Raw genomic sequence first — 26,085 nt, 5'->3', positions numbered from 1 at the left:
GCAAGGTCCACCTGGTGGTGGAGTTAAGATATTGCAACCCAGCTCTATTCTATCTTGTTAAATACCTGAAGAAAAGACGCAAATTAAAACTTCTCCAACTCTTGTTTTATCACATCTGTTATCTGTAAAACACCTATAACTAGCTTGTTAAAGCTATTTTAATTTCAGTATAGTGAATCACTAATTTTTAGTTGCTGAGGTTGGCATTTTAGTGATTATTAAGCATTTCTGTCAGTCTTTGAAAAAAAAACATATGTTTTATGCTTTGAAGATCTCTGAAGACTTTCCTTTAAAAAAGAATGGGCATGTATTGTAATTGTTTTATGTCAAAGGATATGTTCTGTAGAAAAAAAAATCACCTTTGTTCGAAAAAGAAATGGATAAATTTGGCCTTTCTGAGTGGTAAGAACGACCTGTCACTATAATATACTATATGTTTACATTTTATTTTAATTTAATCTCTTATGTACAGGGTGATAACCTTCCCCCCAAACAACAGTGATTGCAATTGTTTTCTAGAAACTTCTTTAAAATGCCACATTTGGCAGTACAAATGAGTTTGAATGTAATAGTCCAGAGATTTATATATAATTGGATGTCCTAAAATGGAAAAATGTGTCATTGTGTCAAGTTACAGTGGCTTAAGTTTTTCAGAGTAATTCCAATGAAGTTCCTAATTTTGACAGTAAATGTCATTTAATAGTGTACTTGCCATTTGTGCCTCACTGCAAAATTAGTGCAGAGGATAAAATAATGTTTAATGTAATCTTGGTTTTACCTTGTATGTTGTACATTCCCAAAACTCTACACCTTTTAAAGATCACAGATACATTACCAAACATATCACCTTAAAATTGTTTAAGGTTGAGGCCGGATGAGGTGGCTCACGCCTGTAATCCTAGCACTTTTGAGAGGCTGAGGTGGGCGGATCACCTGAGGTCAGGAGTTCGAGACCAGCCTGGCCAACATGGTGAAACCCCATCTCTATTAAAATACAAACATTAGCCGGGCATGGTGGTGCATGCCCGTAATCCCAGCTACTTGGGAGGCTGAGGCAGGAGAATCGCTTGAACCTGGGAGACGGAGGTTGCAGTGAGCCGAGATCACGCCACTGTACTCTAGCCTGGGTGACAGAGCGAGACTCCTTCTCAAAAAAACAAACAAACAAACAAACAAAACAAAAAAACAAAAATTCATGGAAAATAAAAGTTGTATCATTCTTTTTTGAGGAAAAATTAAAAAGAAAAACATGCTTAAAGCTGAATGTGGTGGCTCGTGCCTATAATCCCAGCTACTCAAGAGCTAAGGTGGGAAGAATGCTTGAGTCCAGGAGTTCAAAGCCAGCCTGGGCAACATCGTGTGACTCTTGTCTCTAAAAACATTTTTAAAAAATGCTTATGGAGTGCCCCAAGCATTACACTGGGTTTGTTGCCAGGACGACCTTCCTTGTGTTCTCTGGTCAGACAGCAACCTCATTTCACAGTGCCGGCCTGCTCTGGGTTACTTGCTCTTAGGAGACAGAGCCAGGATTTAAATCTTGGTGTCCCAACTCCAAGTCATCTCCCTGAAGAAAGCTATTTTTCAAGCATTTTATAGAAATGGGATTCTATTTTTAGTTGCATTTGATTTGGAAGCCAAATGGGTAAGAAAGTTAGAGTGAAGATGCACTGGCTGCGTGAGTGGTGGGGGGCCTGGAGACCCCTGCCTGGGTCCCCTCATTCCCTGCGGTGGCCTATGAGACCTGATGTAGAATCTTAGGACTTCAAAGAACTAGAAAAGCTGGAAAACCATGTGGTCACAGCCTCCAACTCCATAAGAAAGACCTGGCTCTGAGGCTTGGGTGAGGGGGCAGCCCAGAAACCCCTGGGGAAGTATAAAGATGAAAGACAGAAGGGGGGCCGGGCGCGGTGGCTCACGCGCACTTTTGGGAGGCCGAGGCGGTTGGATCACGAGGTCAGGAGATCGAGACCATCCTGGCTAACACGGTGAAACCCCATCTCTACTAAAAATACAAAAAAATTAGCCGGGCTTGGTGGTGGGCGCCTGTAGTCCCTGCTACACGGGAGGCTGAGGCAGGAGAATGGCGTGAACCCAGGAGGTGGAGCTTGCAGTGAGCCGAGATCGTGCCACTGCACTCCAGCCTGGGCAACAGAGCAAGACTCCATCTCAAAAAAAAAAAAAAAAAAAGACAGGAGGGGTGAGAAATGCTAGCTACAGCTGCCCTCCATGCAGGAATGTAAGGGTGGGCAGCTGACGGCGCCCTGTCTGCCCCAGGACCCATTAGGACGCTCCCTTACGTTGGCAAAATTTCCCGGTCTATGTTTCCGTCTTTTGCAACCATTTCTTGGGGAACACATCTCTGATTTCTAGATAAATGTTGCAACAAAAATAGGACTCTACCACCCAGAAGAATCTTTGAGGTATATCACAGTTTAAAAAATACATTTACAAAATTGTTTTCTAACAGCCTTACCATCACGAGCTGTAATTACCTTGCTTATTTGCTTATTTTTAACTATTATCTCCCTCTCTGACTAGACTGCAAGTTGCATGGAAGCTGGGACCTTCTCTGTTTGGTTCAATGTAGCATCCCAGTGTCCGGCCCCGTGGCTTGGTAACACTGGGGAGGCTGACCCAACCAACAGGGAGCATCATGTACATTTTACAGATACGGAAACCAAGGCTCAGAGGGGGTGGGGGTTGCCCATGGCCAAGCAGCTGGTAGACAGCCAAGTCACCATTTGGACCCAGCTCCCAGCTTTATTGTTAGCTGTGGAGCAACAATGAACTGAATGAATTTATTCACCACGCCCATCCAGCTGAGTAGAGATGGAAATTGCTCAGGCTCTGGCAAAGGTCTTGCACAGTACGCCCCGAATCCATCTTCCAGCCTTCTGGTCCAGCTCCTTTCTGTCTGAAAGCCACCAGTCTGTCTGCAGAATGGGGACACAAAGACAGGGAGATCTCTCTGGGGCCTGGGGAGGATTAATCAGCAATTAGTGTGCAAAACACTTTCCAGACAAATGTTAAGTATTATTAGTATTTAAATTTAGTTTCATCTTCCCCTGCAGCCTGAAGACAAAAGGGAACAGATGGCCTTGGCTCCAGGTGAAGAGGGGAGGGCGGGAAGGTTTCAAGGCTCCAGTTTCCAATTAGCCCCTGCTGCCTGCTGCGGGGAGCCGTGCAGAGACGCCCCGTGGGGTTGCCCCGAGGCCTTTCTTCAGAGCTAAGTGAAGGTCAGGGGGAAGCACAGCTTGGGGTCTGAATTTCCCTTCCTAGCCCTGTGACCTTGACCAGGTCACAGCTCCTCTCAGAGCCTCAGGTCAGTGAGACCACCTTGCAGGTGTGGAGAAGGGAGTGAATGAGACCAGTGGTGACCAAGCCTTGGCCCCGTGCTTCCTTTCCCCCTGACTCCTTTGGGATACCCAAGTTAGGGTCTAGTTTCTTCTAGAGAGGTTTTCTTGAGAACTGAAACTGCCCTGGGATGTGGCATCTTGCAGCTCTGAACTGAACACAGCTTCGGCTGCACCACTTGTGCCACTGCCTGCACTCTGGGCCTCATGTTCTTTATCTGTAAAGTGGGTGTGACATTGGCACTTGCTCTGCCTGCCTTGCAGGGCAAGGATCAGCTGGGACGATGGCTGCTGGAGCTTCATAGACTGTAAAGGGAGGCATGGATTGAGAATGATTACTACTGTTTTTATCCTGTTTTCTGTGCCAAGGCCTCTATCTTTTGGACAGAGGACGGGGTAGTTGAAGACGGAATGCTTATGCAAAACCCTTGTGTAACCCACCCTGGCTGAACCTCAATTCTGGGCTTCCCCAGAAAGAGGGCCCCTCTTTCCAGATGACTTGCAGCTGGTTGGACAAACACCTGGTGAGAATAGCAACATCTCGCCACCCCGCTGGAGAACCTGCCTGAGACAATGGGACAACCCCAGGAGAGTAGAGCTGAGGGGTGCAGGCAGCTGGCTCCCTGTGGACTTGAGTAAGAGCCTCGTTCCAGTCACCTGAGTGACCAGGAGCACGAACCAGTGCTTCACCTTATTCTTTTTACTTAAGTCAGTTGAGATTTTATTTTATTTTATTTTATTTATTTATTTTGAGACGGAGTCTCGCTCTGTCGCCCAGGCTGGAGTGCAGTGGCACGATCTCGGCTCACTGCAAGCTCCGCCTCCCGGGTTCATGCCATTCTCCTGCCTCAGCCTCCCAAGTAGCTGGGACCACAGGTGCCCGCCACCACGCCCAGCTAATTTTTTGTATTTTTAGTAGAGACGGGGTTTCACCGTGTTAGCCAGGATGGTTTCGATCTCCTGACCTCGTGATCTGCCCGCCTTGGCCTCCCAAAGTGCTGGAATTACAGGCGTGAGCCACCGCGCCTGGCCTAGTCAGTTGAGATTTTAAAAGCCATTTGCGGCTGGGCGCGGTGACTCATGCCTGTAATCCCAGCATGTTGTGAGGCTGAGGCAGATGGATCACTTGAGGTCAGGAGTTTGAGACCAGCCCGGCCAACATGGGGAAACCCCATCTCTACTAAAAATATGAAACTTAGCTAGGCGTGATGGTGCACACCTGTAGTCCCAGTTACTCAGGAGGCTGAGGCAGGAGAATCACTTGAACCCGGGATGTGGAGGCTGCAGTGAACCAAGATCACACCACTGCACTCCAGCCTGGGCGACAGAGCGAGATCCTGTCTCAAAAAAAAAAAAAAAAAAAAAAAAAAAAGTAAATAAATAAATAAATAAATAAAAACCACTTACAACAAAGACTTCTCTTACTAACTCACTTAAATAAATAATTTGATTTCAACAAAAACTTTGATTTCAGCACTGGGAAGAGCTCAGCTGTGAGCATCTGGAAATAAGGTGCAGATGGTTGGATTCCATTTGCTAATATTTTGTGAGGATTTTTGCATCCGTGTTCATGAGGGATATTGGCCTGTGGTTTTCTTGTAATACCTTTGTCTGGTTTCTGTATCAAGCTAATTTACCTGGCCTCTTAAAATGATTTGGGAAGGTTCCCTCCTATTTTCTAGAAATATTTTGTGTAGAATTGGTATTATTTCTTCCTTAAATATTTGGTAGAATTTACCAGTGAGGCATGATTCAGATTTTTGATGCTATAAATTACTTTTTTAAAAAGGGAGCTGTTTTGCTGACTATTCCTGTCTTATGCATTGATTGAACTATTTCTCAATGTTGTGTTTTCCAACCTTTTTCTTGTTTTAGCTGCTCCAGGCTCCGGTAACTGTAATATGATCTAAACGTATGTGATGGTGTGGCAGTTTTTACTTTTTCAAAAAAAATCAACACATTGTTTGCAATCTGTTTAAGATAAATTAACAAAATACCATGAACTTCAAACATATCTTAAAATTGATGTATCCTGCTTGCCTTCACAGCCTCAGCTCCCTCTCTTTGCCATGTCCCCATCAACCCTGTGGTCCTGCCCCCTGGCCTTTGCCCCTCCTGTTGTCCCTCTCTGGAGCACTCTTCCCCGACCCTGTCCTGGCTTGCTCCACTGGGATTTTGCTTCCACAAAACTTTCGTTTGTTTGTTTTTTGTTTGTTTGTTTGTTTTTGAGACAGGATCTCGCTCTGTCGCCCAGGCTGGAGTGCAGTGGTGCGATCTCAGCTCACTGCAACCTCCGTCTCCCAGGTTCAAGCGATTCTCCTGCCTCAGCCTCCTGAGTAGCTGGGACTACAGACTCCCGCCATGATGCCTGGCTAATTTTTTGTATTTTTAGTAGAGACCAGGTTTCACCGTGTTAGCCAGGATGGTCTTGATGTCTCCTGACCTCGTGATCTGTCCACTTCGGCCTGCCAAAGTGCTGGGATTACAGGCTTGAGCCACCACACCCAGCTCCACAAAACTTTTCTGCATTTCCCAGGCTGGCCTAGGTTTAAGGTGACTCCCCCTGCTACCCCGCCCACTGTGCTTCCTCCCACCCAAGCATGAATTGCGTTACGTTGAAGTTGTCCATGTCTGTCTCTTTCCCAGACTGTGAGGTCCTTGAGGGCAGACTCTGCGTCTACTTAGTCCATTGTTAGATTCCAGCTCTGAGTGCAGAGCCTGGCACCCGGGCCCTGGATAAACACTTGCTGAGTGAATGGACATTTCTGTGACCAGGGTCACAGCAGTAGTACCTGCCTGTATCTACACATCTCTGGACCGTTTCTGAGCAGTTTTCGCATGCAGGGTTTCATTTGAATCTTCACAGTAATTCTGTGCAGTTGGTGTCATTACCCCATTTTACATTTGTGGACATCAAGGTCCAGAGACACGTAGGAACTTGCCAAGCTACATCAGTGGCAGAGCTGGCATCCAGAGGCAGGCCTTCCTGACTTCAAATCCAGGGATTCCCTGTGCATCTCAGTTACATGCCAAGATGCCGTTGGTTTGGGAAACGTAGGATTTACCCTGAAGCAAAATCTTGCGCTAAAACAGCAGCCAGAGAGGATGTTTCAGGGAGGAACGCTGAGCCCATGGGGGCTGGAGCCATGCATGGAAACTAAGTGCCCTGCAGGAACCTGGGCCTCCAGGTTAGATGGGTCCCCAGCTCACCAGGAAAGGGGATGTGAGGGAGGAAAACCAGAGGCAGGCAACAGAAGGTAGGTAGCAGCCGAGCCTGCGGTCTGGGCAAAGTTTTCAAAGAAGGGGCCTGGCTATGGCAGGAAGGGGCGGAGAGAGTCCCCTCCGTCTGGGGACTGACTGATTTTGGCTGTGGAATCCCTCTCCAGCCTCCCATCCCCACCCCAGATCCTAACTGCTAAATTCTTCCAAACCATACCTGCCCAGTGGATGTGTCAAACAGTGTTTCTCAAAGAGTCCTGGAGTGGGATCTAGGCTTTGGGCTGGAGCCTTTGACCTATTGCATACCAGGCCCCCCCATTTCCATTTGCCTGGCTAACTTTCTTCCTCTGGTCTCAGCTTAGATGTCTGCTCCTTCAGAAAGCTTTTCTTGACTTTCCAACTTGGAAACGAGTCCCCTGTGTCCCTTGTACAGCCCCCCATGCTTCTTTGTATTACAGACTTGAGCACCCTAGAGGCCTTCTGTGCGTTTGTGTTTCTTCACCACGAGTTCTCTGGGGTCAGGGACTGTACTCTCTTCATCTCTGTATCCCAAGCAGCCAGCCCTTCTCATCTGCAAAATCAGGGTGGCAATTCCTAATCACAAGGTAGATTATGAAGCCTCCGTAACAAAAGAGATTTCAAAAAATCCCAAAGCTTTGTGGAGGCCATGCAATGCAGATTAATCCTTTTTTCTTTTCCTTTCTTTTCTTTTCTCTTTTTTTTTTGAGATGGAGTTTCACTTTTGTCATCTAGGCTGGAGCACGGTGGCGCGATCTCAGCTCATTGCAACATCCGCCTGCTGGGTTCAAGTGATTCTCCTGCCTCAGCCTCCCGAGTAGCTGGGATTATAGGTGCCTGCCACTATGCCTAGCTAATTTTTGTATTTGTAGTAGAGACGGGGTTTTACCATGTTGGCCAGCTTGGTCTTGAACTTCTGACCTCAGGTAGATCTGCCCACCTCGGCCTCCCGAAGTGCTGGGATCACAGGCATGAGCCACCACGCCCAGCCTAATCCTTTTTTCTTAGCTCACATTAAAGAGGCAAGCAGAGTGCTAAGGGCTTCATGTGTGGGGCCTGCCTGGGTCCTCTCCATGCATGTTCCCTTCTTTTGGTCTGAGCATCAGATTCAGGAAGAGGTGCTTTCTTGGAAGGCACATAGGGGCCCAGTCTTGACCCCTGAGATTCCTGCCCTCTCCAATTTTAACCTCAAACCTGCTGGGTTTGGAAGATTCCTTGGAAGGGGAGGTTTGATTCTACTTTCTTTGGCAGACAATCTCCCTACTGCCTTGGGTCCCCAAGCTTGTCTGGCATTTACAAAAGAACATAACTGAAAGCGTCACAGGCCCGTTAAGGAGACAATTATAGGCAAAAGAACAGCAGAAGCAGCAGTTTCCAACGCCCATGTTTCTGGTTGTGAAGGCAGGCAGCCCAGCCTGGCAGAAAGAACCCACACTCATCACACGGAGCTGGTTTGGCTCTCAGCACTGTGTGCAACCTCAGGTAAGTCAGGTCATCTCTCTGAGCTTCAACTTTCTTTTCCAGAAATGGGGCCTTCAAGACTTAACTCTCTGTGTTGTTGCAAGCATGGTGCTCAATGAGCTTTCATGGTCTTCTCCATTCCTCATGGCACTGAGCACAGGGCCAGGCACATAGGAAATGAGGAGCTGTGACTGGTTGATGATTAACTACCCCCATCTCCTGCTGTCAGACATGGAGACTATGCTCAAAATTACAGCTTTATCTCCTGTACCACTTTCAGGGCCAGGAACCTTTTTGGTGGCTAGGACATATTTGCTAAAGGAATGAATAAATCCCAGATGGTGGAAATAATAGGAGCACAGACAAGAGACATGGAGGGCAGAGCCAGCAGAGTCCTAGGGTAGACCAGGGAAGAGCTGGACCTCTTTAGAACAGTGTCAGAAGTGGATAAGTTGCCTTGGCATAACTCGTGCCCCCAGCTTAGAAGGCCCTTTCTCTTTCAATGTCTGACATACCTATTTCTCTCTTAAACCCCAACTCAAATGTCGCCCATCTCCTCACTAGCTTTGTTTGATCCTCTCGGCAGAATCAGTTGCCTCTGCCTCTGTGCTGCTTTGGAATTCTCTGCATGCCTCCGTTAGGCATGTTTAATCCCATGTCATAGTTCTTGGTTGACCTATCTGACCTCCTGCTGAGCTGTGGGTATCTTGAGGGCAGGGGCCATGCCTGGCCTCTCTTGGGATATCTGCGGGACCAGGGCTGGGCAGCTGGTAGGCTTTGTACATGCTCTGCCCCAATAGCAGACTATGGTTTGTTGAATCATAGTCAATGTTCTGCTCAGAGCCCATAACAGAGACACTTGCATCAGACACTTTTCCCCTCTCAGCAGCCAAGTCAAAGCCCAGGGAGAAGATGGGCCCTGTTGGTTCTCACCTGCGTCAGGGCAGGAGGGAGCAGCTTTTGGCCTTGGGAATGGAGCCTGAATGGGGTGACTGAGTAGACGGGCCCTGGGAGCCAGGAAGCAAATCTGGGTTCCAGTTCTCTCTGCGGCTGACTGGCCTTGAGCAAGTCCCTTCCCCTCTCTGAGCTACGATTTCCCCTTCTGTGACTTGAGCAGTGGGGAGAGAAGGGAGGGAGCTGGAGAGAGCGAATGCTCTTCCTACTTCTAACATTCTGCCCATGTATTTCCAGGGTTTCTGGGAGACTGACAGACACACGTAAACACTGATGCATACTTACACCCACACACATGCACACAGGAACAAATAGATTCAGATGTACCGAGACACACACACACACACAGAGGCAAGCTGACATCAGCACACTGGCTTTCACAGACACAGAGACGCACTTATGCCTAAATGTCACGCCTGCATAGGATATGGAGACACTCAGCTGCCATGAGCACACACGCGCACCCCCAGCCATGCTCACAATCGCACTGACACAACTGTGTGAGCACGAACACACGCACGTTTCCCTTGGGCTCTAAGGCCCCTTCCAGTTGGTAAAATCGAGGCTTGTTTGGAGCAGACCCACCTGCTTCCCTTGGCAGGTGACATGTTCCCTGCTCTCCTTCCCAGATCTGGGCTTCTTGGCTGAGCTGTGAGCAGGGTGAACGCTGCCCCCAGCCCACAGGGGTGAGGATCTGGAGGGAGACTCATCTCCCAGGTTACTGCCTGCGGATGCTGCTTTAAAAATAGCTTCCTGCTGTTTCCAGGAAAGCTCTGGGGAGTGAGGACTCCAGAGACTGGATTGTGCTCATCCCTTGCCTGCCTGCAGAGCTATGTATGAGGGTCCCTCGAAGAGACCACCAGAGTCCTTGTTAGTGCCGCATGGCCTGTGGCAAAGAGGAAGAGGCTAAGGGTGGCTGGACAGCTGGGGGTGGGGTGCTTCACCCCTAAAACTCCCCCTCCTAAAGGAGGGCTGCCTCGCTTCACTCTCCTCTGTGGGGGCATCACGCACCTCCGGGGGCGGGGAAGGAGACAGGCATGATGGTTCATACCTGGGCTCTGCTGCTCCCTGGCTGTGTAACCCTGGGCAAGTTGCTTCATGTCTGAGCATCAATGATTTCAGCTGAAAAATGGGGCTAATCATCTCTTCCTCTCTCATGAGTTGTGAAAATTCAGCCACAAAAGATGCCATCATTTCCCTCTTGCTGGGCTGTGCTCCCCCGGGGGCAGGGAACCAGGGCAGCTCTGTGGCGGCAGTGCCCTCCCTGCCTGTCCCTCTGCCCACACTGCCCTTCATGTGCCCTTCCAGCTCTCACTGCTTCTCTTCTGGATCACCTGGCACCACACAGTTCTGTTTTCAGAACCCCAGAGAGCACGGAGGGCCGCAGCCACGCTGGTGGATGAGAGAGACCGCTAGGCAGTGACCTGTGACTGGCTTCCACCAACAGCAGAAGGTTCAGCGGCTCTGATGGTGCAGAAATTGGCTTCAGTGAGGCCCTGGGAGGGAGGGAGGACCTGGTGGCTGGTGGGGCCCACTGACAAGTGTGTCATCAGCTTACCCCGCATCCTTGTGAATTCTGTGGCCCCAGCTAGGTCTGCGTGAGAGTCCTGGGCAGGCACTGCCTGAGTAGTAAGGGTCAGGACCGCATCTCTGGCTTTGTGTCTTCCTAACTGTGTGATCTTGGGCACAAGTTAAAGTCTCTCAGTTTCTTCATTTGTGCAGTGGGTCTTCTGCTCTCCACATTACAGGGTCATATCAGGGCAGACAAGGGGTAGAGGATGCTTTGTGACTCTGTGTGGCCGGAAGTTTTATTCCCCACTCAGATGGAGATATAGGGGTGCAGAGACTTAGATTGATGGAATCCTTAGGTAGGAAGCAGAGGCTCAGAGAGGGCAAGTGGCTTCTCCAAAAGACCCAGCAGAAGTCCGAGGGAAGGTGGAGCTCGAGGCCCACCTAGTCCCCTCCATCTTTTAGCAAAGAGTGACAGCAGGAACTGGGGTCAGGTGTGGCTCTGGATGACTGTCCTGGCAAGGGGGCCCTTCCTGGGGGAGCGGGGCCTTCTTCCCGAGGTGAGCTTCTGCGCGACCCCAGGGAGGGAGCATGGCTGAGCAGGTGGGCCTGGTCCAGTGCCCTCTCTGCAGCTTATTTACCAGCTGGTTTCAGACAATTGCTGGCCTCGCTGAGCCGCAGTTTCCTCCCCAGAAGTTGGGGACGGTAATGCCTCCCTTGCAGGGCTGTTGTAAAAATCAAACGCAAAAAGCCTTAAGGCTGCCTATGGAGAGATCTGTGGGAAATGCACTTCTCAGGTCCAAGATGTTGGGGTCTGCATCCGCTTCAGTGGCTGCCCTTCACCTGACGTGGTGGGGAGAGGCCTATTCCCAGGGTCCTTTGTGGATTGAGGGCCAATAATGGGGACAGGGAGATGGTGAGGTGGGAGAGGCCCAGTCAGGTGTGTTTGCGGGGAGTGCGTCTGGCTCCAGTGGTTAGTTTCCTCCCCCAGACCTCACTTCTCCACCTGTCAGATGGGGGAGGCATCCCCCATGGCCATGAATCACAGCCTCTCTAGGAACAGAAGGCACAGACAGAAGCTGCCTCACACCTGTGGGTTTGGTGGGCTGGTTTGCTCAGGCTCTGGAGCCTCGAAATATGCACGGGGCAGAAATTGCCTGAGTGTGCAGAGGCAGGTGTGAATATCTGACATGAGCAAGGCAAAGTATTTAGAAGAGGAAGACGCTGTGGGGGCTATCTAGGTCACTGAGGCTCAGAGAGGGACAGCGCCTCACCCAAGGCCACAGAGAAAAATAGTGTTTGAGCCAAAACTCAAACACTGTTCAGCCCATAGTTGAGGAATCTTCTAGTTGGAAGAGGCTGAGGTCATTTGGTCTAACTTTCCACCTAAGAGTCCCTGTTTACACGCTTCCAGGAATGAGGAGCTCACTAGCTTATACGGCAGTCTATTTGTTTTGCAATAGCTCTGGTCTCTAAATATTTCTCTTTCATATTGAGCTAAAAAATCTATTCCCAATCACTTCTACTCTCTACCCTCTAACGTGCGTTGCTTCCACATACAGATGCTGGGTAATAGAGAGCACATGCCCCCGAGTCTTCTTTCGTCCAGACCATCATTCTGTAGCTCGCTGTTCCAATAGAACAGTTTCCAGACCCTCACCCTCTTAGTCCATGAAGGGACCACCACACTTTCTCAGGACCCAGATCCGGATTTCCAGAGAATAAATCGTGAAACTCCCAGAGGCTGCCTCAGTGAGGATGTGCAATAGATATTAGGTATTTTTTATCAGTGAAGACAAAATTGACTCAGAAGTAAATGGTGAATTTTTAAAGGTCTTTTCAATTCATGATTTTCATGTGAGGCAGTTAATCTAAAAGCAAATAAAAGCATCCGAATACCAGAAAAACATATGCAGTGAAGTGTATTTTTTGGAGAGTAAGTCTGACTCTACTAAATTATCCAGGAGTTATACCTAAAATAGACTCCACTGACTGTAAACTCCTTGGGGGCAGAGTCTGGGTCTTTCTATCACCCTCGATAGGCAGGGCTGGCCAGGGCACGCAGGAGGCAGATGGGTCTATGAATGAATAGTTGCAGTTGGTTTTTTTGTAAATGTGCACAAGGTCAAGTGCATCTCCCTGCTGGTTCATCTCTTGGACTTTATTTATTTATTTATTTATTGAGACGGAGTCTCACTGTCACTCAGGCTGGAGTGCAGTGGCGTGATCTCAGCTCACTGCAACCTCTGCCTCCTGTGTTCAAGCGATTCTCCTGCCTCAGCCTCCGGAGTAGCTGGATTACAGGTGCTCGGCACTGACCACCACACCCAGCTAATTTTGTATTTTTAGTAGAGACAGGGTTTTGCCATATTGGCTAGGCTGGTCTCGAACTCCTGACCTCAGGTGATCCAACCACCCCGGCCTCCCACAGTGCTGGGATTACAGGCGTGAGGGACTGCACCCGGCCATCATCTCTTGGACTTTAAAGGTATGTTGAAGAGGCCTGGGTATGAAACCATAATATGGGTGTCAGATGCTGGAAAGAAGAGGGGCCACTCTGCATTGCCCTCAGCTGCTGTAGAAAAGCAATCAAGCAACAATTTCCCTTATTTTAGAAAGGGTATCCCCATTTCCTCTGGGGAAGCTGCTCCTCCCCCAGTCACCTTCAGTGAGGTTTAGTTGAGGGTGAGGCCCCAGCCTGTTCTCCCATAGAGGGCACATGACCACGGTTTAGGCCAATCAGTGTAGTCCACCCTCTGGCTAGAGTGATTGGTGCAGGGAAGGGCATGTGACCCAAAAGGGGCCAATGAGACTCAGTTCTGGAACTTTTGATGGGGCTGTTGGAGTCTCCTGTTGCTGCAGCTGCTGAGCTGTGGGGATGTAAGTCTGGAGCAGCAGAAACCACCCTGTGACGAGAGCTGGCCTGGACACAGAGGAAAGCTGAGCCAAGACAGGGAGAGAGAATGAGGTTTACTCTCCTCATTCGAGCTGCGTGATCCAACTGTAGGGGAAAGCAGCATCCCTAGAGCTTCTCATTACACACACCAAACACATTCCCCCTTTTGCTGAAGTCACTTTAAGTTGGATTTTGCTCACTTGCAACTGAGTGTGTTGACCAGCTCAAGAATACAAGTAGTAAGTTTTCTCTTCAGTTTTGAGGGAGTGGGTGTTGGGAAGCCCTCCCTGTCCAAGCTTCCCTGGGAACCTGGGTTGGCCTAGGCATTGGTGGGTCCTCTCTCCCCACCCTGAGCAGGGTAGAGGGGCCAGTAGGGGCCCCAAAGCAAGTGCCATCCTGGGAGATTCCTTTCTTCGTCTCCTTCCCACATCCAATCAGCCACCAAATCCAACCCATTCACCCGCCACAAACATCTCTCCAGCCCAGTTGAGGGTCCGTCTGATTCCTGCTGGCCTATCGCTTTTGCTTGGGAACATCTGCTTCCAGTTTGATTCTCATAGAGATCTTTCTTAAACACTAGCCCCACCCCAGGTATGCTCATGCTGTGGCCATGACCAAAGCGTGGAGTCCTTTCGCACTGGGAATAGCATTCAAGGCCTTCGAACATCTGGCCCAGCCTTGCGCTCCTGCCCTACCTTTTGTCCATCCCCTTGTATTCAAACAACCTGGACTCCTCCTTAGAATGCTCTCATGTGGTCCCATCTTTGCATCTGTCTACACTATCTGAAATTCCCCATTTCTTACCAGGCTCAGCTCAAAGGTCCGTCTTCTGAGAAGCTCACCTCACCCATACTATCCTACCCACTCAGTCAGTGGCGCCCACCCTGGGTTCTTGCAGTGCCCTTCACACACCTTTATCGCAGCCCTCTAACCTCGTGGTGCCGCTAGTCAGTGCTCCCACCCTGTCTGCACCAAGCCCTGTGCATCCCTGAGTCTCAGCCCAGCCCACACCACTGGCACAAGCATCCGATCTGCTGAATTCCTGCCCAAGAAATTGCTTAGTGCCCCACCCCAGTTACCAGGCTTTTTTTTTTTTTTTTTTTTTTGCACTTATTCATTTAAAACCACTTCCAGGGGAAACCAGAGAGTCAATTACTCCACCTCCGCCTGGTCCAGGAGGAGCAACTGTGGCAAGTCCAGCAGGGTCACCCTCTCTAGCTGCTGGGAGCTGAGATTTCCACTCCAGCTTCTTTGGCTGCCTTGGGGAAATCAACGGAGTTTCCAGGAGTGTGATGGGAATGGTCAAGCTATCTCCCGCCCAGCAATAAAACCAGATGTGGAAGCAGATGGTGGTGACCAGGAGAGCATTCAAGCTACAGGCAGAGACTCTCGTCCCACTCTCAACCCTTGTCTTAGAATTACTGGACCAGAGGAAAACAGTCCCTTTAACTGAAAGCAGTGGAAGAACAGGGTAAAGTTTTCCTGAACTACAACCCAGGAGATCCCCAGAGACAGAAGCAATCAGATCTCACACTCTGGCTTCTGCCAGCTTGGAAGTTTTTCACTAGAAAAGGAGGGAATAGAGCGAGAGGATGCCATTTCTAAGTATTGTGCCCCATTTTCTTTCCTTTTTTTTTTTCTTTTTGTTTGTTTTTGAGACAGAGTCTCGCTCTGTCGCCAGGCTGGAGTGCAGTGGTGCGATCTTGGCTCACTGAACCTCTGCCTCCTGGGTTCAAGCAATTCTGCCTCAGCCTCCCAAGTAGCTGGGACTACAGGTGCATGCCACCATCCCCAGCTAATTTTTGTATTTTTAGTAGAGACAGGGTTTACCATGTTGGCCAGGATGGTCTTGATCTCCTGACCTCATGATCTGCCTGTCTTGGCCTCCCAAAGTGCTGGGATTACAGGTGCGAGCCACTGTACCCGGTCCAGTTCGCCAAGTTAAAGCTTCTCTGTACCCTAGTTTCTGTGCCCCATTTTCTTTAACCCTGTTTTCTTATCCTCCACCATCACTCAAGCCATCAGATGCTATCCCAGTTCCTCAGAGGAGGGAATGGGGGCTCAGAGGGGTGAGATCATTAGCTAAATTCACACACTGGTGAGTGGCAAACAGAAATGCCAATCTGGTCTGAATGATCTCCTCGCCTCCATCACAGCCAGGCCAGTGAGGTGGAAAAAGTTTCACGGTCGGTTGGACACACCTGCTGGAATCCTGATCCTTCACTTCCCAGCTGAGTGGATGATGTAAAACCACGGATCCTCTTTGATGCTCAATTTCTTCCTCTGTGCAACGGGAATGTCAATCTCAGCCTTCCGAGTTGTTGTGTGAGAACAAGGTGGTAGACACTTTCTAGTGGGTCTGGTGCGTAGTAGGAGCACAATGAAGGTGCTGGCTCTCATGGCTTCTCTTTCTCCTGCCCTCCTCTTGACTTTCAGGTCCCCTGCTTGGCCTGTTTCACTGCCAAGTTCTAGGTCATTTGAAACTGCAGAGGCCAGACCTTGGCCTTTAGGTCTCACTGATCCTGTGGCCTTGGGCAAGTCCATTTGCCTTTCTGGGCCTTGGTTTCCTCCTTTGGGAAATGAGAGAGACTTGGGCAGGGTCCCTGGTCCCCAGCCTGGGGCTCTTCTATCTCTGGGGTTAGAAGAAGGGAGGGCACTTTCTGGCAGCAAGGCCGGCCTGCCTAACAATATTGCTTGCTATATTTCTTAGCTTTGGGTTGGAATGACATCACCTCACCTCGTGGCTTACCTCTTGCTGATCAAAGCTCTGACTGGCAGTTAAGTGTCTTTGATTAATAAAAAATGGGGAAAATGAATTAATCATGACTTAAATGCAGCATGTTTGGGAAACAGAATCTTTAAAAAGTCAAATCCACTGAAGTCAAGAGGGAAAGAAAAAAAGGCGTCCTTGAGGGTGAAAGGTTGGGGACCCCTGGAGTGGATGTCCATAGAGCCCTCCAATTGTGCACAGGGGACCTGTATGGCTGGCAGGGGGCCTGTGGGTGTTGGGGACAGGAGGATCGGTCCCTTTAAGGATCCTCTCCTCCCCAGCAAGCCCCAGGCCTGTGCGGAGGAGGACATGCATTATTGAAAGCGCATTTCAATACCTATTCAGTCTCCTCCTCCTCCTGTGGGTGGCAATCACAGTTTACATAATCTGTCTCTCTGTCCTCCCAGGCAGCTGCTCCCTTCTGGCTGAGTGGTTTGAGGAGGGGGAGGGAGGGGAGAGGGAGATACATTAACTCTGTGCTGTCACCTCAAGTAGTGGCCAAGCTGCCATAAAATGAAGGAAGGAAAGCAAGCTCTGACATCATCACACAGCCCTGGGTTCAAGTGTCACTTAGGTGCTGTCTGATTTTGGCTCCCCCCACTTTGCTGCCTCCCCTGTAACCTTGATCCACTCCATTATAGTCTCTGTATTAATAGCTCCTAAACCTCTGTTTCCAGCCCAGACCTCTCTCCCGAACTTGGGGTTCATCTATCAACAACTTGAGGGGCAGCTCTGTTTGTGTTTACAGGCAGTTCAGGCTAAGCCCATTCCAAACTGATCTCACCAGTTATCTCTGAACCATTCATCCATCCATCTATCTATTTATTCATCCCTTCATCCACTCATTATCCAACCAATCGTCCATCGTTCATACGCTCCACCACTCACTCATTCATTCACCTACCCTCATCTATCCTACCATCCATGCATTCACCCATCCAGCTGTCTGTTTTCCATCCATCTCACCACTCATCCATCCATCCATCCATCCATCCCTCCATCCATCATTTACTAAGGGTCTGGCATTTGTCAACATTGGGTGTACAGCAACAGGCAAGACAGGCACTGACTTTGTCCTGACGATACTTAAAGTCCTGTGAAGGAGACAGACAAGCAAATAGAATAGTATAATAAACACGAAAAATATGATAATAGGGGAAGCATAAGGTGCTGCTAGAGCACAGGTGAAGCACCCAACACATCCTTAAGGGATTAGAGAAGACTTTTTTTTGAGGAGATGACACCTGAGGGCTAAGAAGGCGTGAGCCTGTTCCTTTCCCTGTGTTTCTTGTCTCCGTTGCTCAAGGAGCTTGATTCGTAACAGCCATTTCCCCTTCTTTTTGTAACTGTGAAATGGCCCCTCTCTGGGAAGATGTTCCCCTTTCCCACTCATGGTCCTTATGGGTTGGGTGGGAGGATCCCATCATTAACGGGTCCGTGTGATAGCGTGGGACCCAGGCCTGGCTATGGGAATGGGTTAGGGCTGAGTCCACTGACGTTCAATCACAGAGCTTTGCTGACACCACTGGAATGGGTGCCCGATTTTCACTGGAGTTGCTCAGCTGATAGGAAGGAGATGGCTGTGTTCCCACTCTGCAAAGGAAGGCCTGCCCAACATGGGGGATGGCAGTGGAGAGATGTAGAAAGATAGAGTGTTGTGGTCACTGTCTGAAGCCCTGGGGCCATGTGTGTCTGACCTAGCAACATCAGACTTTCCCTTTTCCCTTCAGGCCATCTTGAGTTGGGTTTCTGTCACTTAAGTCTAAAGAGCCTCGTTAACGGTAAAGACTCTCATTTACAGTAGGAAGCGTTTCCACATCCTTTGTCTCATTGGTTTGTACAATAGCCCTAGGAGGCTGTTTCCAGATGATGAAATGAAGGCTTAGAGAGTTGAGTCACTGGGCTGAGACCCTGGTCTGTTAGACATCAAAGTCCACGTGGTCTACCAGGGCACCTTGGAGGTTAGGAAGGAAGGATGCTAGAGAGTGGGACTTAGACTTGAGAGAAAAGGATGGAAGGAAAACGAAATTGAGGACAAAACTCAAAAGTACGTCTTATGGTCTGTGAAGGGACAGGTGGGGAAGAAAAAAAGTACAGATGAAAGAGAAAATGAAGGAGAAGGTGGTGAGATCGGTAAGGAAGTGAGTCAGAATCAGAGAACTATAAAGTGAAAGAAAGATGACATTCAAATTCCCTACGTTCCAGGCAAATGAGCTGGTCCTTAAACAACTGTCCACAGGAGAGGCCCAGAGTCAGCCCACGTTTCATTGCATGATCGTATTTCAAGGTGACTAAAAACATCACCTCTTCCTTGAAGCCCTCAGGAACCCTCCTACTCTGCAGCCCCCATCAGTGTCTCCTTTATCACACTGGCCACTTTCAGCCTCCCCATTTCACTTATTTAGGTACATGACTCATCTCTCTTGCAGGGAAGTCCATGTCTTACTCATCTTTGATTAGACCCAAGCTCCTCACCTTATGCCTGCACCCGGTAGGGGCTCAGTGCATTTAAAAATACATATATTTATTTGAAGGAAATGAGTGTCCCAATAAGAAGTAAATTTAGGGCCGGGCGTGGTGGCTCACGCCTGTAATCCCAGCACTTTGGGAGGCCAAGGCGGGCAGATCACTGGAGGTCAGGAATTCATGACTAGCATGGCCAGCATGGTGAAATCCCGTCTCTACTAAAAATACAAAAATTAGCCGGGCATGGTGACAGGTGCCTGTAATCCCAGCTACTCAGGAGGCTAAGGCGGGAGAATCACTTGAACCCAGGAGGCAGAGGTTGCAATGAGCCGAGATCGCGCCATTGCACTCCAGCCTGGGTGACGACAGCGAAACTCCATTTCAAGAAAAAAAAGAAAAAGGAAAAGAAGGAAAAGAAATTTAGGAGAAGGAGAGTAACAGGAAGTTGGAGAGGGGAAAAGCGAGATGGGGCACAGAGACAGAGAGACTGAGTCAGGAAGGGGGTGAAGGAGGGAGAGAAGGTGGAGGCCTGAGAAGGGAGAAAGAGTGTCCTGCTTGCGTAGAGCTGAGGGTCTCTGCTGGCCCTGTGTGGGGTTCAGTTGCCCTTGCCCCTGGGGATGGGGAAACCATCAGGAAAGGACTCAGTTTGCTCAGGATCCAGTAGGATTGGGAGGAAGAAATCCTATGGGGCGGGAGGGGAGAAGCTGGTGGATGGAGGAAGTGCCAGGGGTCAGGAGCAGCCAGGATCTTTTGCCAAATCCCAGGACAACCCCCAGGAGGTCTGCAGTGTCACTGCTCCCTCCAGGAAGAGCCCAAACCAGAGAAGGACGCACCATCCCCAGCAGCAGGCCTGGGAGTTCCTGACTCTGCTCTGGGACCGAGCGGCCGACTGCCTGTCCCTCTCTGTTATAGCTTTCTCCATCATCTCCACGGCCCTGAGCACCATCCAAAGGCATCCTGTTTACCATGTCCATATATTTGTTTATTGTCTGTTTCTCTCAATGCAGAGGAAACTCCATGAAGGGAGGGAGCTGGTGGGCCTCTTGGTGCCTAGCACAGTGCCTGGAGATGCTCATGAAATGCAGCACGGATTAAGGAGTGGAAGGACAGGGCGGGTGAGACAGTCACACGGGCTGTGTGTGGTAGGGGGCGGGGGGCTGCTTGGAGGTGGCGTTGATGAAGCACTTTACTAACCACAGCTCCTAAAATAAAGGCGTCTGGGCTCTGAGCTGAGAGTCCTTGAGACGAGAAAGGCCCTTCTAGGACTCATTGTGTGGCTGTCAGCCTGAGTGGGGGCAGCTGCAGGGAGACAAGGTGATGCGGGAGGGAATGCCATGCCTGGCCCACCACACCTGCTTTCAGGCAGTGAGGAACCCACCAGTGGCCTGTTGTGGCTGCATGAGACGTGAAGAGGCTGACCCTGCTACCCAGGGAGAGGGGGCCTGGGCAGAACACGGAGCCCCGCTAGTCACAGAAGTGTCGGGGGAAGGAATGAGTGTGTGCCAAGTAAACTAAGGGCTCATGACGCCAGGCGCCCTGCTGGGCACTGCATCAGTTTCCCTCAGTGATTTCTCCCCACAAGGCCCAGAGGAAGGGATTATTGAAACAGGTAAAGAGCCTAAGGCTCAGGGAGGTGACGTGACCAGTCCAGGGCCACACGGTGGGTGGTGGCAGAGACAGGAGCTGACCAAATTGGCTCCCTGCACATCACTGGGCCTCCAACACAGTCTCAGGCTGGGGACACTCACCTCCAGATGGCTGCTGACCTCTGTAGGGACTTTTGGTGTGATGCAGAGAGAGGGGAAGGAAGGGGAGAGAACTGGGGAGACAGGTGGATAATTTCCTTTTCTGCAAAATAAGGAGTGAGATAGATGTCCTTGTAGCTGCTTCTTCACCTTCCTTTTGTTCCCTTCTGTTCTATTCCTCCCTGGGCTACCTGCTTCAGGCTGAGAACATCCCAGCTGTCCTCTCCGCACCCTCTGTGAGACCTTGGGCAGGCCCTTCACCTCTCTGAGCCTGGCCATTTCATCTGTGAAATACTGATAACACTTTTGACCTGTGAGGTCAAAGGGTGACTGTGAGGAGTGAAGAAGGCAGAGGAAGCCGATGAAACCTGGTACCTAAGAGATGCCCCTGGTATCAGCCAGAGGTTCCAGGACACCCACTTCCAATCCCAGACACTCCACTTGGCTGCCAGAGATAACTTTCTAAAATGAAAGGCGGCCCTTGACCCTCCCTGTCCAGAGCCTTGAATAGACACTTTGGGAAAGAGGATGTCCAAATGGCTAGGAAGCATATGAAAAGGTGTTTAACCTACTCGTCTTTGGGGAAATAAAAATTCCAACGGCACCACTCCACATCCACCAGAATCGCTGAAATGGAAAAGACGGAAAATACCAAATGTTGGTGAGGGTTTGGAGCTCCTGAAACTTCCACCAAGTAGCTACAGTAGGGAATGTAAATTGCTACTATCATTTTGGAAGAAACATTTGACAGTATCTGCTAGAGCTGAACCCGCATCTCGTGTGATGCAGCAACTCCACTCCTTGGCATAAACCCCCTAGAAATGTGTACATGTGTTTTTCCAAAGACACGTGCAAGAATCTTCATGGCAGCGCTTCTCCCAAGAGTCTAAAGCTGAAAACAACCCAAGTGGCTATCAACACTAGAACTGCATTTTGGTCTAGTCCCACGATGAGATTTACTCCAGCAATGAGAATGAATGACAACCACATGCAACAACTCAAGAGACTCTCCAACGTCGCTGAGCAGGGGTCCAACACGGCGTGATTTCATTTATATGAAGTTCAAAAACAGCCAATGAATCTATGAAATTAGAAGTCGGGGCCGGGCGCGGTGGCTCACGCCTGTAATCCCAGCACTTTGGGAGGCTGAGGTGGGCCGATCATGAGATCAAGAGATTGAGACCATCCTGGCCAACCAACATGGTGAAACCCCATCTCTACTAAAAATACAAAATTAGCTGGGCATAGTGGCGCATGCCTGTAGTCCCAGCTACTTGGGAGGCTGAGGCAGGAGAATCGCTTGAACCCGGGAGACAGAGGTTGCAGTGAACCGAGATCGCATCACTACACTCCAGCCCAGGTGACAGAGCAAGACTCTGTCTCAAAAAAAAAAAAAAAAAAAAAAAAAAAAAGGTTGGGACAGCAGCTCCTTTTGCAGGGAGGTGGGGACTGGAAAGGGGAGCAAAGGGAGCTTCCGTGATGGCAAGTTTCTGTGTCTCGAGCTGGGGAAGGTTACGTGGGCGTGTTCACTTTGTGAAAACTCACTGAGCTGTAAACTTAGGAGAACTTTATGAACATAGGTTATAGTTCAGTAATTTTTTTTTCCTGAAAAAACAAAAATGAAAAACAACTCGCCCTTCCATGGCTTCCTCCTAGCCTGGGACAGGGTCTCTGCTCTGTGGCTGTCTGCAAGGCCCTTTTCTGCTGGATCAGCCCACCTGTCACCACTCCCTGCTCAAGCACTAGAGAAAGGGGTGGGTTTTCCACACACAGGCTGATTTTCACCTCTATGCCTTTGCCCATGGTGCCCCTCTAGCTGGTATCCCTTTTCTCCCGACTTTCTGTTTGCCTCCTCATCCTTCCCCTCCCTAGTGGGCCAGCTACCCCCACTCTGAGCTCCCACAGCCCCCATTGAACTTTCCTTTATCTCAGCAATACTCAAATGGTTTCCATGTTATCATCTACATGCCTGCCCACTCTCCCAAGGTCAAGGCCACGGATTCATTTCTTGCGCTTATGCTCAGCCTGGGGCCAGGCAGGGTGGAGAAACAGGGAGTGCTTGCAGAATGAATGAAGGAAAGTTTGCTCTTATTTGAGGCTCCTGTTTTCCCCTCTGTGGCTCCCCACACTTAACCCTAGGTTGAACCTCCATCATTGTCCTGTGGCAGTCTTCCTGAGATTTCTTTTCTATGGGACACATGTCCCCAGTCCTGATCCTGTCTCCCATGTGTGATGGGTTTCTCTGTTTCCTTTTGTGAACCAGAAATGGATACACATTCCTCCACCCTGATCCCCTCACCTCCTTCATCCTCACTATACTCAGTTCCCCCGCACAACTCCTGAGGGCAAAGACTGTGATTAGTCAGCCAGGTGGGGAAGTGAGCCAGGCACCTTCCCCTCAATCCCTAGTCCCTAGGGACATCAGACCCTCTCTTCACAAACATCGTGGGAGTAATTAAAAAATGGAGCAAGATGCTCAGGGCTTGTAGGGCGAGGGGGGCAGTAGGAAGAGTAGTGAGCTTCTTGTCATCAGAGGTGTGCAAATAGGAACTGGCTGGCTGCAGTCAGGGGAGGTTGGACTCAGTCCCTCTGACCCCAGTGGGGGAAAAGGAGAAACAGTGACATCAGTTGAGGTCATACTGTGCGTTAGGACATTACGCATTAGACACGTGATGTCAGAGACTATGCGCAGTTGTTCAGGGAGGTAGGTGTTATCCTTGTACCCATTAGACAGGCGATAAAGCTGAAACTCAGAGCGGTGAAGGGTCTTGCTAGGTAGGAAGCTGACTTACTAGGAAAGAACTGGAATTTGAACCCAGATCTTTCTGGCTCCTAAGCTTCTGCTCTTTCTAGAGCCATCTAAGATCCTGTGATTCCATCCCAAAGAAACATCTGCTGTTGTGATATAGCCTGAAGAAAGCATGGCAAGTGTCTTGGAGCCCCCTGGAGTGGGGCCCACTGACTTGCTATCGGCCATGGTCTGGCCAAGGCTGTCAGAGCAGTGAGGGTCGGTATCCCCGAGTGCACTGGCGTCTGAGCCCTTCCAACAGCTGCAGTCGCTCTTGGGTCACCATGGACACCACGTAAGATGTTGAAGGGACCAGGTGGCAATTTCTTTCTGAACAGTTTGCCCATTGGCATTTGACCTCTATTTTTCCATCAACTTGATTTTCATTTGCTAGTGTTTACTGATTGGAAAAATAAGGAAAGGTGGAAAGCTCAGGTTAATGAAATTCTCTCCCCACTCTTTTCCCACTTTTTAGGATGTGTTGAGTTAAACATGCAAATTAAGAGGTGCTTTCATGTACCAGCCATGAGGCACCTCTGGTTCTCAGTGATGCTGGCAAGTTTCTGTGTCTCGAGCACCTCTGGTTCCTGGCTGCCTCTGCCCCACGCATAGCCCAAGTCCTCCTTTTGGACCCCTGGCTCCCCAGCACTGCCAGCGGCAGGTCAGGGCTTGTGCTGCAAGAACGTGAACTCAGTGAATTCTTTCCCGCCCCTGATGGTGAGATAGGTCATGTGACTAGTTTTGGCCAACGGCCTGTGAGAAGAATCAATCAGTGTCACTTCTGGGCTGAGGTATTAAGAGTGACTGTTGGCTGGGTGCGGTGGCTCAAGCCTGTAATCCTAGCACTTTGGGAGGCTGAGGCGGGCAGATCACAAGGTCAGGAGATCAAGACCATCCTGGCTAACACGGTGAAACCCCGCCTCTACTAAAAATACAAAAATTAGCTGGGCATGGTGATGCGGGCCTGTAATCCCAACTACTTGGGAGGCTGAGGCAGGAGAATCGCTTGAACCCAGAAGCTGGAGGTTGCAGTGAGCCGAGATTGCACCACTGCACTCCAGCCTGGCGACAGAGTGAGACTCTGTCTCAAAAAAAAAAAAGAGTGACTGTGAGTTCTCCACTCACTCTCTTCCGCTGCTGCATAGTGGCGGAGCCGGCCTAGATCCCGGAGTCACCGATTGGAAGGATGCTGCCTGGAGAGCTGCTGGCTCCACAGAAGACATCATGTTAAGGAGAAACAAATCTTTGTTGTATTAAGTCACAACAGGATTTGAGGATTAACTGGTTGCCACAGTATAACCTTGAGACCTGCAGTCCCTATAGGCCCCTTCCATCAATGCCACAGCCCTTCATGTGTGTCAGGCATGATGCTGGGCATAGATGTAACAAGAGACAGTGGGTCTCCTCAAGGAGCTTACAGTCAAAAAGCAGCAGACAAAAACAAACGAACTTGTGTGCCTCCAAGTAACACAGAGGGTCAATGCTGTGACAAAAGGAAATACAGGGTCTGTGGGAGTCCAAAGAATTGGTGGCAAGGCAGAGGGAGGGGCAAGTCATGGAAGGCTTCCTGGAGGAAGTGATGTCTCATCTTAGTTGTAGTGGATGAGTAGAAGTTAGTTCCCATGGTCACAAACTGGTGGTACATATTGTTTGGTCAACACAACATTTAATTGTTTTCCTGTGAATTGATAATACTAAAAAAGGAGGAGTTTCACATAGAACTCCTGATTTGGGCCTTCATTTAAACAAACCAGCCCAGGTGTAACCATCAACCCTGGGGCCCCGTGCCTGTGTGGTAACTGCTGGAGTGGTAACTCCACTCCCTGGAGTGGGCAGCGGCTGTCCTGCTAGCTAAGCATGTCTGTCCCCTGTCACAGTTCCTCCATGCATGTGCTCTCCGCCAAGCCTGCTGACGAGCGGGTTTGCAGCCCCTGAGTGAGTCGGTTCTCATTAGACTTCCTCAGCCCAGCAGATCCTTTTCAGCCCTGGGGCCAAGGATCAGACTTGCCCAGTACCCTTCCCCTAGGGCCCCCAGCCCATCGGAGGACCCTCACTGCAGCAGCTCACCACCTTACTCAGGTACAGCAGACCACTGCTCCCAGACTGGGATGGTGACGTTTGTCCATTCAGGGTAGGAGAAAGGAGGCCTCAGGGATGGTCCCAGAGAGTGAAACCTAGGAGACCACAGTGCCTCGTACTCCCTGGGATCCTTCTGGTAGACATTTGCTGGTTTGAGCTGCCCAGAATCCACTCCTCCTCCTTCTGGTGACAGCCCTTTGATTTTCCTTGTGGGAACCACCCCTCCCTCACGTTCAATCTCGGAAGCAGTCCTGTCAAGCCGCCATGCTTTGGGCTGGCCGAGAGGAGGACACGGGACCCACGCCAAGCCAGCTGTCTCCCTCCTGGGGCTGTGACTCATGAGCCGAGTGATGCAAGGAGGAAAAAAGCGGCTGTGGCTGAGATGCATCCCAGAGGGGACCTGGACAAAACCGGCCTCAGGTCCTGCTTCCAGACCCCTTGTGCAGCTTTGGCTCTGGTCCTTTCCTGAGCCCTGTGTCCAGCTTTCCCTTTGGTTCTGGGTCCCATCTGATAACCTCGATAACCCCCTTTTCTGTCTGAGTCTGACAGAGTTAGTCTCTGTTGCTTGCTATCAGTGTACCCTAATTCACACCCAGCCCCTCTCTAAGGCTGCTGTGAACTGTTGAGGTTCACACCTGATTCCTTGAACACCAGGCTGACACGGGCTGCCTCTTCCTGTCCCTCAGCTCCTTCCTGCCCCCGCTGGATAATCCAAGTTATGATCAACCACTGGACCACAGCCTCTAATTAAGACCCCCTTCTGGATGTAATCAACCTTGCCAGAAACCAGAGGCCTAGGGTCTGTTTCAGATCCACCCTCTGGTGGT

General features: G+C 50.0%; 1 protein-coding gene and 1 long non-coding RNA gene across 4 annotated transcripts in view, besides 2 other annotated features; one reads left to right on the top strand and one right to left on the bottom strand.

Annotated features, from left to right (window-relative positions):
- Positions 1-26,085, bottom strand: part of CPLX2 (complexin 2) — an 87,489-nt gene that overhangs the window by 43,568 nt on the left and 17,836 nt on the right. The gene's annotated exons all lie outside the window — the stretch shown is intronic.
- On the top strand, positions 13,476-19,484 carry LOC105377744 (uncharacterized). Its single transcript, XR_941268.3, has 3 exons — positions 13,476-13,649; positions 14,545-14,881; positions 15,567-19,484. It is a non-coding gene; the product is annotated as an uncharacterized LOC105377744 (long non-coding RNA).
- Positions 16,505-16,564: a silencer, noted in NCBI's record as "silent region_16646". NCBI's record gives its function as "represses an Ori minimal core promoter by ATAC-STARR-seq in GM12878 lymphoblastoid cells {active_cell/tissue: GM12878}" and the evidence as "EXISTENCE:reporter gene assay evidence [ECO:0000049][PMID:35858748]".
- Positions 19,342-19,842: an enhancer, noted in NCBI's record as "H3K4me1 hESC enhancer chr5:175247615-175248115 (GRCh37/hg19 assembly coordinates)". NCBI's record gives its function as "activates a minimal SCP1, AML or CMV promoter by ChIP-STARR-seq in primed H9 embryonic stem cells {active_cell/tissue: H9 hESC(primed)}" and the evidence as "EXISTENCE:reporter gene assay evidence [ECO:0000049][PMID:30033119]".

This window comes from Homo sapiens, chromosome 5, assembly GCF_000001405.40.
Source record: "Homo sapiens chromosome 5, GRCh38.p14 Primary Assembly".
Classification (NCBI taxonomy): Eukaryota; Metazoa; Chordata; class Mammalia; order Primates; family Hominidae; genus Homo; species Homo sapiens.
This window is presented reverse-complemented; position numbering and strand designations above follow the sequence as displayed.